Here is a 14780-nt window from a genome sequence, read left to right on the forward strand (position 1 = left end):
ATTAGCTGGGTGTGGTGGTGCGTGCCTATAATCCCAGCTACTCAGGAGGCTGAGGTAGGAGAATCGCTTGAATCAGGGAGTTGGAGGTTGCAGTGAGCCGAGATTGTGCCACTGCAGTCCAGACTGGGAGCAGAGCGAGACTCTGTCTCAAAAAAAAAAAAAAAAAAAAGCGCCTGCTACTCACTGTCCTCAATAAGCATGGGTTAACTGACGGCTAGTGGGCAGAAGCATGGGCAAGAGTGAAGCCATGTCACTGTATTCCTACAGCTTCCGGCAAGAACAGAGGTTTTAATGGGTAAGAACTAGAGACAAACAAACATTTCCTGCACTGAGCAGGTAGTACCTGCACCTTGAAACAGGGAGTGGCTGGGCGTGGTGGCTCACGTTTGTAATCCCAGTACTTTGGGAGGCTGAGGCAGGATTACCTGAGGTCAGGAGTTCAAGACTAGCCTGGCCAACATGGTGAAACCCTGTCTCTACTAAAAATACAAAAATTAGCTGGGCCTGGTGGCCTATGCCTGTAATCTCAGCTACTTGGGAGGCTGAGGCAGGAGAGCTGCTTGAGCCTGGGAGACGGATGTTGCAGTGAGACGAAATCTTGCCACCGCACTCTAACCTGGGTGACAGAGTGAGACTCTGTCAAAAGAAAAGAAAGGGAGGGAGAGAGAGAGAAAGAGGGAAGGAAGGAAGGAAGGAAGGAAAGAAGGAAAGAAGGAAAGAGTAAGTTTTACTGTACAAACTCTTATTTGTTCTCCAGAACTTACTCCCTAGGACCCATCCAGGACACCTTCCCTGATCAACCCCAACCTCCCCCACAAAGCTGAAACCCTTCCTCTGTGCTCCAAGTAATCACCTAAGGCTCATCATTACACGGCGGGTGCCTGCAGTCCCCACTAAATTAGAAGCTCCTTGAGGACAAGGATGCTTTTACTCAGTGACCACCACAAACTTGATGTTTGTAGAATGAATAAATAAAAACACCTTTAGCTCAGCATGTCTCAAAGTAGCTTCCAAAGCTGCCCTACCCAATACACAAGTCACTAGCCCCATATGGTTATTTAAATTTAAATTAATTAAAGTTAAATAAAATTTGGCCAGGTGTGGTGGCTCACGCCTGTAATCCCAGCACTTTGGGAGGCCAAGGCGGGAGGATCATGAGGTCAAGAGATCAAGACCATCCTGGCTGACACGGTGAAACCCCGTCTCTACTAATAATACAAAAAATTAGCCGGGCATGGTGGCGGGTGCCTATAGTCCCAGCTACTAGGGAGGCTGAGGCAGGAGAATGGCGTGAACCCGGGAGGCAGAGCTTGCAGTGAGCCGAGATTGCGCCACTGCACTCCAGTGTGGGCGACAGAGCTAGACTCTGTCTCAAAAAAAAAAAAAAAGAAATGTCACACACATACCCTGAGCTTGTGTGTGACATAAATTTGAGAAACACTGGATTAAACATATAACGAGAACTTTACCACAGAACTTCTCGGAACCATGATATACTCGTATACAATGAGAATCTCTAAGAAGACTGACGATAAAACAAAGCAATATCCTTTAAACTTACTTGACCAAGGAATTTCATGTACCCAGTATTTCCAAAATACATTTTGGGAAATTCTACCTGAACAGTAAGTTCCCAGAGGACAGAGATGGTATTGAATTTATATCTGTTTCTCTAGCATCCAGCCCAAGAACTGATACACAATAGGTCCTCAGGAAGTTTTTATTGCTTTGAACAGATGAATTCTACTAACTAGTTGCCTTCTGGAAAAATCTTACCTTAAAATAAATTTCTGTTAGTAAAACCTATTCATCACCATCATAAGACTGGATATCTAGTTCAGCTGTCTCTGCTGGAGGAGTGGAAGCCTCCAAAGATTTAAGAAGAAAGCTGTCGGCCGGGTGCAGTCGCTCACGCCTGTAATCCCAGAACTTTGGGAGGCCAAGGAGGGTGGATCACGGGGTCAAGAGATCAAGACCATCCTGGCCAACATGGTGAAACCCCGTCTCTGCTAAAAATACAAAAACTAGCCGGGCGTGGTGGCGCATGCCTGTAATCCCAGCTACTCAGGAGGCTGAGGCAGGAGAATCGCTTGAACCCAGGAGGCAGTGGTTGCAGAGAGCCAAGATCGCACCACTGCACTCCAGCCTGATGACAGAGCAAGACTCCATCTCAAAAAAAAAAAAAAAAAGGAGAGGAAGAAAGCCGTCTGCTCAATCACCTGGGTTTGGCAAACTTTCCATCCATGTGCAATTTCCCTCTCACCAAAATACACTGCTCTGTTCAGCCATCTTTCACTAGTACTCCTGGGTGAACAGGAGCAAAACACAGAGGGCTTAAATACCATCAGTGTTCAGAACCACCATACTGTGAGGCCAGGGCTAGTGTCTGATATCCATCAGAAAGCTGGGAGCCTGCCTGGGCAGGATGACCATAACGTTCCGGCGAGCGTTTTGTTTATTTATAACTGATGTCCCCATAGCGAGTGCTTGGCAAAGAAGTGAACCTTGCTGGATACCAACCTGCAGGGGGAGCTGGATGTCCCCACTGAACACTGACCCTCAAATGCCGGGAGAGAAACCCCCAATTATGCATGTTCCGAGGGATGCCATTCGTCAAAATGAATTTATGGTCTTCAAATTCTGAATTCTGTTCAGCAGATTTCTGCTAACTGTATCAATAAAGCACGGCTACTTCAGAGACCCAAAAATGCTTTCTACATGACGAACTGTTTTACACAGCAGGATCTGGCCTATTCAAGTCTTAATCATTCTATCACAGTAGAAGCTCTAAACCACCACAGGCCCCCAGGGCAGGAGACCCTCTGTGTGGCCACCATGCTTGTGGCTAGCCCCACCTGACCCTGCAGCTGCTCTCAAATCCTCTCTGCTCTTCTGAATATTCAACACCCCAACTACTCCTAAGTGCCCTCTACTCGCATAACATTGGGCCAAAGAGCCTCTTGACTCTGAAGGAAGAATAAATTACTAATTTTGCACAGCACTTGAGAGGGCACAAAGGTCTTTCATATCTATTTACTTCTGTTACTTCAGCCTCTTTCTCTTTCTTCCCTTTCCCATCAGTGTTTATACATCTCAAGACTCTTCTATTGGTCTGTTTGTTGTTTGAGACAGGGTCTCGCTCTGTCACCCAGGCTGGAGTGCAGTGGTGCTCCCGGATTCAAGCAATCCTCCCACCTCAGCCTCCTAAGTAGCTGGGACTACAGGTGCACACCACCATGCTTAATTTTTTTTTTTTTTTTTTTTGAGATGGAGTCTTGCTCTCTCGCCCAGGCTGGAGTGCAGCGGCGAGATCTCAGCTCACTGCAAGCTCTGCCTCCCGAGTTCACACCATTCTCCTGCCTCAGCCTCCCGAGTAGCTGGGACTACAGGCACCCACCACCACGCCCGGCTAATTTTTTGTATTCTTAGTAGAAGCGGGGTTTCACCATGTTAGCCAGGATGGTCACGATCTCCTGACCTCGTGATCTGCCCACCTCGGCCTCCCAAAGTGCTGGGATTACAGGTGTGAGCCACCATGCCAGGCTAATTTTCTTTTTTTGAGACAGAGTCTCACTCTGTTGCCCAGGCTGGAGTGCAGTGGCACAATCTCGGCTCACTGCAACCTCTGCCTCCTGGGTTCAAGCGATTCTTCTGCCTCAGCCTCCCGAGTAGCTGGGACTACAGGCACGCGCCACCATGCCCGGCTAATTTTGGTATTTTTAGTAGAGATGGAGTTTCACTCTGTTGGCCAGGCTGGTCTCGAACTCCTGACCTCATGATCCACCTGCCTCGGCCTCCCAAAGTGCTGGGATTACAAGCGTGAGCCACTGTGCCCAGCTGCCTGACTTTCGTATTTTTTGCAGAGATGGGGTTTTGCCGTGTTGTCAAGGGTGGTCTCAAATTCCTGGTCAAGTGAGTTGCCCACCCACACTGGCCTCCCAAATTCCTGGGATTACAGGTATGAGCCTGGCCTAGATTCTTCTATTTTTAAAAGAGTTTCCTATAGACCCCACACTTCCATTTAACCACCACCCCATCTCTGCTACTCTTCACACATATAAAAGTTTTTTTTTTTAATTTTATTTTCTTTTTTTTTTTTGAGACAGATTCTCACTCTGTTGCCCAGGCTGGAGTGCAGTAGCGCGATCTCGGCTCACTGCAACCTCCACCTCCCAGGTTCAAGCAATTCTCCTGCCTCAGCCACCTGAGTAGCTGGGATTACAGGCATGCACCACCACATCCAGCTTATTTTTGTATTAGTAGAGACAGAGTTTCGCCATGTTGGCCAGGCTGGTCTTGAACTCCTGACCTCATGATCCACTCCCTTGGCCTCCCAAAGTGCTGGGATTACAGGTGTGAGCCACTGAACCCGGCCTTTTTAATTTTACTTTTTTAGTAGAGATAGGGTCTATGTTGTCTAGGCTGGGCTCAAACTCCTGGCCTCAAGTGATCCTCCTACCTCGGCCTCAAAAAGTGCTGGGATTACAGGTGTGAGCCACCACGCCCGGACAACATAAGAGTCTTCTACACTCCCTGGCTCTACCTGCACACCTTCCATTGACTATTCAACGCACTCCAATCACTTCTGTCCTGACCACTCTATGAATCTTCTCATTAAGGTCATTGACAAACTCTTCATGTTAAACCTAATGGATCCTTCTCTGTTCTGATCTTACCTGACTTCCCAGCAGCATCTGACCCCTTGAAACATTCCCTCACCCCTCAATCCTCTCTTGGCTTTTCTTGATAACACTCTCACTTTTCTTCCCTACTCTCTGGCCCCTTCTCTTCAGACTCCTATGAGGAATTATCCTCCTAAGTGTGTTCCTTAAATGAGATTGGTTCCTCAGGAAGTTGGGTTTAGTCACTTCTTTGCTCACTCTCCCTGCTGTCTCTGCACAATCTCATCCATGCCCATAGCTTTGATTACCATCAGTAGCTGGTGACTTCTAAACCAAAAGCTCCAGTCTAGAACTCTCCTTTTGAGTACCAGACACGTATGTTCAACTGCCTACCGAGTATCCTCTTTTTGATACCCCACAGTCTTCTTAAATTTAAAAGGCCAAGATCAAACATGTATCCTCACCCACATCCCAACCCTACTCTGCTCTTCCACTGTCTCATGATCCATCAGCTATCTAATGTCCAAACCAGAAACCTAAGCGTTATCCTTGACCCCTTCTCCTCTCTCACTCTGCTCGTCCCATTAATCAAATTGTTTCAATGCCACTTCCTAAACTGTTCTTAAATTCATCATTTTTTTCTGCTGCCACTTCCCAATTTTGTGCTAGTATCATTTCTCGCCTGAATTACAGCAAGAGCCTAAATCAGGGGTTGGAAAACTACAGTCTGCAAGTCCAATTTGGCTCATCACTATTTTTCTTAATCAAATTTTATTAGAACACAGCTATACCCATTTGTTTACAGATGGGCTATACCTATTTTTGAGCTGTAATGACAGAATAGTGATGAGAGAGACCATTCAGTCTGCAAAGCTGAAAATACTTACTATCTGGGTCCTTTAAAGACAAAATATGCCAGACTCAATGATATCCCCATCTTCTGTCTTACCTCCCTCCAACTCGTTCTTCAAACTATAACCAGAGTGATCTTTTTAAAATTAATCCACAAATGTCCCTAATTAATCTACAAAGTCAAGGAAATCTGGATTAAAATATAATAGGATTTTTATGGTAACTTAACGAATTGATTCTAAAATTTGTCTGGAAATGAAATGTCTGAAAACAGCCAAAAAAATTTTGAAAAATAAAGAAACTAAGTGAAGATTTGTCCACCAAGGTATCAAAACATACTATAAAGCTCTAATAAAGTTCTGGTGCAACAAAAGAGAAAGAGGCCGGGCGCAGTGGCTCACGCCTGTAATCCCAGCACTTTCGGAGGCTGAGACAGATGGATTATGAGGTCGGGAGTTCAAGACCAGCCTGGCCAAGATGGTGAAACCCCATCTCTACTAAAAATACAAAAATTAGCTGTGCGTGGTGGTGGGCATCTATAATCCCAGCTACTTGGGAGGCTGAGGCAGAGAATTGCTTGATGCTTGAACCCAGGAGGAGGAGGTTGCACTGAGCCGAGATCGCACCACTGCACTCCAGCCTGGAAGACAGAGTGATACTCCGTCTCAAAAAAAACAGAGAAAGATACCAATGAAATATACTAGGGTGTCAAAAAATGGACCCTTGTGTACAAGAGAATTTAAAATTTAAGATATGACAAAGAATGGCCTATTCAATAAAGACAGTTGAGCCATTATCCATCTATTTGAACAAATAATAAATGTGGATCCCATCCTCATACCACAATAAATTCTAAATGGATCAAACAAAGTAAATACAAAAAATAAAAGTCCAGTGTTGGCAGAAATTAGAGAATATATTTTTCATTTTATTACGTATGTATGTATTTATTTATTTTGAGATAGGATCTCACTCTGTCACACAGGCTAAAGTGCAGTGATGTGATCTCAGCTCACCGCAAGTGCGCCTCCGCGGTTCAAAGGATTCTGCTGCCTCAGCCTCCCGAGTAGCTGGGATTACAGATGTGCGCCACCATCAGCTAATTTTTACATTTTTAGTAGAGACAGGGTTTCACCATGTTGGCCAGACTAGTCTTGAACTCCTAACCTAAGGTGATCCACCCACCTCGGCCTCCCAAAGTGCTGGGAGCCACCACACCCGGCCTGTTGTTAATAATGAGATTTTCCCTTCAGATTTCCCCTTCCCAGATCCCGTTGTCTCAGACTGATGGGATTTTCTCCACAGCCTCTTGACTGGCTCACCAATTGTTGTGCTGGACCCCTATTCACTAGGGATGGCACCAGGTTCAAGAGGCTGAAGGGACCTGGAGACAGCAGATGACACATAGGGTTTTGCTAGGCGGAACTTATATGCAGGGACAGTCCAGGGGTGGTGGGCTGGACAGGAGAACCGCCTGTAATTTTTTTTCTTAGTATGCAGAAATTTTTTATGTTTTTGTTGTCAGTTTTATCCTTTTTTTCCCTTACTGGACTTTTGTCTTCCTTAAGGATTTTTCTGCTTCAAAGATTTAAATAAGCCAGGCGCGGTGGCTCACGTCTGTAATCCCAGCACTTTGGGAGGCCGAGGCGGGCGGATCACGAGGTCAGGAGATCGAGACCATCCTGGCTAACACTTTCGTGAAACCCCATCTCTACTAAAAATACAAAAAATTAGCCAGGCGCAGTGGCGGGCGCCTGTAATCCCAGCTACTCAGGAGGCTGAGGCAGGAGAATGGCATGAACCCGGGAGGTGGAGCTTGCAGTGAACCGAGATACTGCCACTGCAGTCCGGCCTGGGCAGAAGAGCGAGACTCCATCTCAAAAAAAAAAAAAACAAAGATTTAAATATTAGGTTCGAGACCCGCCTGGCCAACATGGAGAAACCCTGTCTCTACTAAAAATACAAAGATTAGCCGGGCGTGGTGGCACCCGCCCATAGTCCCAGCTACTTGGAGGCTGAGGCAGGAGAATGGCTGGAACCGGGGAAGCTAAGGTTGCAATAAGCCGAGATCACACAGCTGCACTCCAGTCTGGATGAAGGAGTGAGACTCTGTCTCACAAAAAAAAAAAAAAAAGCCGTAACAAAAAAAAAAAATAGAAAAATAGGCAAATTATATATTTATTTGTGTATTTATGAATACATAAATTATGTATTCATAAATACATAGGCCGGGCGCAGTGGCTTACGCCTGTAATCCCAGCACTTTGGGAGTCCAAGGCGGGTGGACCACATGAGGTCAGGAGCTTGAGAACAGCCTCGCTAACATGGAGAATCCCCGTATCTACTAAAAATACAAAAATTAGCTGGGCATGGTGGCGCATGCCTGTAATCCCAGCTACTCGGGAGGCTGAGGCAGGAGAATTGCTTGAACCCGGGAGGCAGAGGTTGCAGTGAGCCAAGATTATGCCACTACACTCCAGCCTGGGCGACAGAGGGAGACTCCATCTCAAAAAAAAAAGAAAGAAAAGAAAATGCACATTATAATATGATATAATTATTTGCCTCTGGAAAAAGTTTTAAAAGATTCTGGCCAGGCGCGGTGGCTCACGCCTATAATCTCAGCACTTTGGGAGGCCGAGGTGGGCGGATCACGAGGTCAGGAGATCGAGACCATCCTGGCTAACAAGATGAAACGCATCTCTACTAAAAATACAAAAATTAGCCAGGCGTGGTCGTGGGCACCTGTAGTCCCAGCTACTTGGGAGGCTGAGGCAGGAGAATGGCGTGAATCCAGGAGGTGCAGCTTGCAGTGAGCCAAGATTGCACCACTGCACTCCAGCCTGGGCGACACAGCGAGACTCCATCTCAAAAAAAAAAAAAAAAATTATATCCAGCGTTGGCAAAGGTATGGGGAAATACTGTCAGACATTACGGATGGGGTATAACCTAATCCAATCATTTTCAGGGGGAAATTTGCAGGATCTACTATAATTTAGTATGTGTATATTCTTCAAATCAGATATTCCATTGTGAGGTATCCACCCTAGAGAAATACTTCCAGATATGCAGACAGGTAGGTATAAGGATATTCAGTGAAACATTGATTATAACAGTAAAAAATTACAAACAACCTAAATTAAAGTACATATGGGCTGGGCCAGGCACAGTGGCTCACGCCTGTGATCCCAGCACTTTGGGAGGCCGAGGCGGGCAGATCACTTGAGGTCAGGAGTTTGAGACCAGCCTGGCCAACATGATGAAACCCTGTCTCTACTAAAAATAAAAAAATGGGCCAGGTGTGGTGGTACATGCCTGTAATCCCAGCTACTTGGGAGGCTGAGGCAGGAGAATCACTTGAACCCAGCGGCGGGGACAGGAGGAGGTTGCAGTGAGCCAAGATCGTGCCACTGCTCTCCAGCCTGGGCGACAGAGCAAGACTTCATCTCAAAAAAAAAAAAAAAAGTACATATGGAATATTATGTAGCAGTGGTTTAGGGGTGAGCTCCATGGCTCACGCCTATAATCCCAACACTCTGGGAGGCCAAGGTGGGTAGATTGAGCTCAAGAGTTCAAGATGAGCCTGAGCAACATGGCGAAACCGTGTCTCTACACAAAATGCAAAAATTGGCCGGGTGTTTTGGTGCGCACCTGTAGTCCAAGCTACAGGTGCAGGAGGATGGCTTGAGCCAAGGAGGTCAAAGCTGCAGTGAGCCACTATTGTGCCACTGCACTCCAGCCTGGGCAACAAAGCAAGGATCCTGACTCTACACATTTTGTTTTTTTTGAGACAGAGTCTCGCTCTGTCAACCAGGCTGGAGTACAGTGGTTCGATCTTGGCTCACTCCAACCTCCGCCTCCTGGGTTCAAGTGATTCTCCTGCCTCAGCCTCCCGAGTAGCTGGGACTACACGTGCATGCCACCACACCCAGGTAATTTTTTGTATTTTTAGTAGAGATGGGGTTTCACCATGTTGGCCAGGATGGTCTCGGTCTCCTGACCTCATGATCCACCCGCCTCGGCCTCCCAAAGTGCTGGGATTACAGGCGTGAGCCATCACGCCCAGCCTCTAAAAAAAATTTTTTTTTTTTTTTTTGAGACGGAGTCTCACTGTTGCCCAGGCTGGAGCGCAGTGGCGCGATCTCTGCTCACTGCAAGCTCCGCCTCCCGGGTTCACGCCATTCTCCTGCCTCAGCCTCCCGAGTAGCTGGGACTATAGGCACCCGCCACCACGCCCGGCTAATTTTTTGTATTTTCAGTAGAGACGGGGTTTCACCATGTTAGCCAGGATGGTCTCGATCTCCTGACCTCGTGATCCGCCCGCCTCGGCCTCCCAAAGTTCCTGGGATTACAGGCATGATCCACTGCGCCCAGCCTAAAAAAATTTTTAATAAAAAAAAATATATATGTGTCAACTGAGAAATACTATTCAGCAGTTAAAAAATAAGAAGAAAAGGCCGGGCGCGGTGGCTCACGCCTGTAATCCCAGCACTTTGGGAGGCCGAGGCGGGCGGATCATGAGGTCAGGAGATCGAGACCATCCCGGCTAAAACGGTGAAACCCCGTCTCTACTAAAAAATACAAAAAATTAGCCGGGCGTAGTGGCGGGCGCCTGTAGTCCCAGCTACTTGGGAGGCTGAGGCAGGAGAATGGCGTGAACCCGGGAGGCGGAGCTTGCAGTGAGCCGAGATCCCGCCACTGCACTCCAGCCTGGGCGACAGAGCGAGACTCCGTCTCAAAAAAAAACAAGAAGAAGAAGAATGAGGCCAGGCATGGGTGGATCACACCTGTAATCACAGCACTTTGGGAGGCCAAGGCAGGAGGATCGCTTGAGCCCAGGAGTTTGATACCAGCCTGGGCAACAAAGGGAGACCCCGTCCCTACAAAAATGTAAAAATTATCAGCCTGGGCAACATAGGAAGATCCCATCTTTACAAAAAAATTTAAAAATTAGCCAGGCATGGTGGTGCATGACTGTAGTCCCAACTCCTTGGGAACCTGAGGTAGGAGGATTACTTGAGCCCAGAAGGATGAGGCTACAGGAAGCTGTGATCCTGCCATTGCACACTCCAGCCTGGGTAACAGAGCAAGACCCTGTTTCAAATTTAAAAAAATAAATAAAAAGAATGTACTATTAACATATACAACATAAATAATAAATCTCAAAAACATTTATGTTAAACAAAAGACAGTATACGAACTATATCCCATCTGACTACATTACTAAGAAATCCAAATAAAGGCAATTGTGGGAGAGGGGAGTGGACTAGAAAGCGGTAAAAGGGAACTTTCTGAGAGAACAGAAATGCTCTGTATCTTATTTTGGATGCTGGTGACATGGGTACATACAATTGCTAAAACTCACTAAATAGGCCAGGCGTGGTGGCTCATGCCTGTAATCCCAGCACTTTGGGAGGCTAAGGCAGGTGGATCACGAGGTCAGGAGTTCGAGACCAGCCTGACCAACATGGTGAAACCCCGTCTCTACTAAAAATACAAAAAAACTGGCCAGGCGTGGTGGAGGACACCTGTAATCCCAGCTACTCCGGAGGCTGAGGCAGGAGAATAGCTTGGACCTGGGAGGCGGAGGTTGCAGTGAGCTGAGATTGCCCTACTGCACTCCAGCCCAGGCAACAGAGCGAGACTCCATCTCATAAAAAAAAACAAAAAAACAAAAAACAAAAAACAACAACAAAAAAAAAACCCTGACTGAATTGATCTTAAGATGTTTGTATGTTCTGAGACGAAGTTTTGCTCGTTGCCCAGGCTGGAGCACAATGGCGCAATCTCGGTTCACTGCAACCTCCGCCTCCCAGGTTCAAGCAATTCTCCTGCTTCAGCCTCCTGAGTAGCTGGGATTACAGACGCCCACCACCATGCCCGGCTAATTTTTGTATATTTAGTAGAGACGGGGTTTCACCATGTTGGTCAGGCTGGTCTTGAACTTCTGACCTCAGGTGATACACTCGCCTCGGCCTCCCAAAGTGCTGGGATTACAGGATTGAGCCACTGCGCCCAGCGCAAGATCTTTGTATGTTATGCTATGTTAATTAAAATATGTATATTTTTACGGAAGTCTTGTCATGTGACGCCTCCACTTAAAACCCTTTAAATGATTATTTGTCACCCTAAAATAAAGTCCAAATTCCTTAGCATCACTCAAAAGTCTGTTACAATCTTATCATTCTCTCTCCCTAAACCACTCTCCTCCTTAAAGTGCCAGCCTAGCAGTTCTAAAGGTACGGTTCAGGAACTCCCCAGGGTCCCCAAGACCTTTCAGGGGGTCTAGGAAGTCAAAATTATTTTTAAAATACTACTAAGATACTGTTTACCTTTTTGCTCTTTTTCTCTCACAATTGTACAGTGGATTGTCCTGGAAGCTCCATAACATGTGAGAATATGATATTATTAAATGCATCAACAACTGTAATATCTATATAACTTAGTCATGGATATTGTCCAAATTACCAATTCATGATGTGACAAAAATCATGCATAGATAAAAGATCTATTCAAGGTGCAACAAAGAGACCAGTTAATTTTATTTCATTTTATTTTTTATTGAGACAGAGTCTTGCTCTGTCACCCAGGGTGGAGTTCAGTGGCATGATGTTGGCTCACTGCAGGCTCCACTTCCCGGGTTCAAGCGATTCTCCTGCCTCAGCCTCCTGAGTAGCTGGGATTACAGGTGCGCACCACCACACCCGGCTAATTTTTTGTATTTTTAGTAGAGACAGAATTTCACCATGTTGACCAAGCTGGTCTTGAATTCCTGACCTCAGATGATCCACCCACCTCAGCCTCCCAAAGTGCTGGGATTACAGGCAGGAGCCACCATGCCTGGCCAATAATATATATGTTTTAATATTTGAAGAAATTTATTCTGAGTCAAATATGAGTAACCATGGCCCTTCAGGAGGTCCTGAAAACATGTACCCAAGGTGGTCGGGTGCAGCTTGGTTTTATACATTTTAGGGAGGCATGAGATCAAATACAATCAAATATATTTAAGAAAAGTCTCAAAATTTTGAAGACTGTAAAGGGGTCCAGGGACTGAGCACAGTGGCTCATACTCATAATCCCAGCCTTTAGGAGGACAAGGAAGAAGGATTACTTGAGGCCAGGAGTTCAAGACCAGACTGGGCAACATAGTGAGACCCCGTTTCCACAAAAAATACAAAAAAAGAAAAAGGAGAAAAAAGAAAAGAAAAAGGGGTCCTGAGAGCAAACTCCTTTTCTCTAGCCATACCAAATTATTTTCAGTTCCTGAACAACATTATGTGATTTTTGCCTCCCACCGTGTACATATGCTTTTCTCTGCTTTGCACACACACTCTCCTCAATGTGCCGGCTAACTCATACTCAACATTCAGGTCTTGGTTTAAACATCACTTCCTCCACAAAGCCTTCCTTGATTGTTCACACTGGACTGGGTGCCTTTCCCATGTATTCCCATAGCAAGGACAGTCCCAACTTAACAATGGTTCACCTTACAATTTTTTGACTTTATTTTTTAATTTTATTTATTTTACTTTTTGAGATGGAGTCTCGCTCTGTCACCAGACTGGAGTGCAGTGGCACAATCTTGGCTTACTGCAACCTCTGACTCCCTGGTTCAAGCGATTCTCCTGCCTCAGCCTCCCAAGTAGCTGGGATTACAGGCACTCGCCACCATGCCCAGCTAATTTTTGTATTTTTAGTAGAGACGGGGTTTCACCATGTTGTCCAGGAGGGTCTCGATCGCCTGACCTCGTGATCCGCCCACCTCGGCCTTGCAAAGTGCTGGGATTAAGGCGTGAGCCACCACACCCCACCTTAATTTTTCGACTTTATGATGGTGTAAAAGAGATACACATTCAGGCTGGGCGTGGTGGCTCAAGCCTGTAATCCCAGCACTTTGGGAGGCCGAGGCAGATGGATCACTTGAGGTCAGGAGTTAGAGACCAGCCTGGCCAACATGGTGAAACCCTGTCTCTACTAAAAATACAAAAATTAGCGGGGCATGGTGGTGCACGCCTGTAATCCCAGCTACTCGGGAGGCTGAGGCAGAAGAATTGCTTGAGCCCAAGGAGATGGAGGTTGCAGTGAGCCGAGATCGCACCACTGCACTCCAGCCTGGGGGACAAGAGTGAAACTCCGTCTCAAAAAAAAAAAAAAAAAAAGAGAGATACGCATTCAGGTCAGGCACGGTGGCTCATTGGAGGCCGAGGTGAGCGGATCACCTGAGGTCAGGAGTTCGAGACCAGCCTGGCCAACACAGTAAAACCCCGTCTCTACTAAAACTACAAAAATTAGCTGGGTGTGGTGGTGCATGCTTGTGGTCCCAGCTACTCGGGAGACAGGCAGAAGAATCACTTGAGCCCAGGAGGTGGAGGTCACAGTAAGCAGAGATCACGCCACTGCACTCCACCCTGGGTGACAGAGTAAGACCTTGTCTCAAAAAAAAATATGAGATACACATTCAGTAGAAATTGTACTTCAAGTGCTCATACATGTAAGCCATTATCCTCAGTGAAATAACTGAGGAATAGAAAGTCAAGGAGGTTGCAGTGAGCTGAGATCAGCCATTGCACTCCAGCCTGGGCGACAGAGCAATACTCCGTCTCAGTAAATAAAAAAAAAGTCAAATACCACATATTCTCACTGATAAGTGGGAGCTACACAACGTGTGCACATATAGAGTGAACTAACAGACACTGGAGAATATAAAAGGTGGGAAGGTGGGAGTGGGGTGAGGGTTGAAAAATTACGTATTGGGTACAGTGTTCACTACTAGGGTAATGGGTATACTAAAAGCCCAGATTTCACCACGATGCAATGTATGCACATAAGAAATCTGCACTTCTGGCTGGGCGTGGTGGCTCACGCCTATAATCCCAGCACTTTGGGAGGCCAAGGCAGGCGAATTACCTGAGGTCGGGAGTTTGAGACCAGCATGACTAACGTGGAGAAACCCAGTCTCTACTAAAAATACAAAATTAGCCGGGTGTAATGGCATTTGCCTGTACTCCCAGCTACTTGGGAGGCTAAGGCAGGAGAATCGCTTGAACCTGGGAGGCAGAGGTTGCGGTGAGCCAAGATCGCGCCATTGCACTCCAGCCTGGGCAACAAGAGCTAGACTCTGTCTCAAAAAAAAAAAAAAAAAAAAAAAATTTTGCCAGGATTGGTGGTGGGCGCCTGTAATCCCAGCTACTTGGGAGGCTGAGGCAGGACAATTGCTTGAACCCGAAAGGCAGAGGTTGCAGTGAGCCAAGATTGTGCCACTGTACTCCACCCTGGGTGACAGAGTAAGACTCCTTCTCAAAAAAT

At 46.5% G+C, this 14780-nt stretch overlaps 1 protein-coding gene across 5 annotated transcripts in view; it reads right to left on the bottom strand.

The window, feature by feature from the left end:
- Positions 1-14780, bottom strand: part of MED24 (mediator complex subunit 24) — a 35305-nt gene that overhangs the window by 17434 nt on the left and 3091 nt on the right. The window lies entirely within an intron of this gene.

This window comes from Homo sapiens, chromosome 17 (assembly GCF_000001405.40).
Source record: "Homo sapiens chromosome 17, GRCh38.p14 Primary Assembly".
NCBI classification, from domain to species: Eukaryota; Metazoa; Chordata; class Mammalia; order Primates; family Hominidae; genus Homo; species Homo sapiens.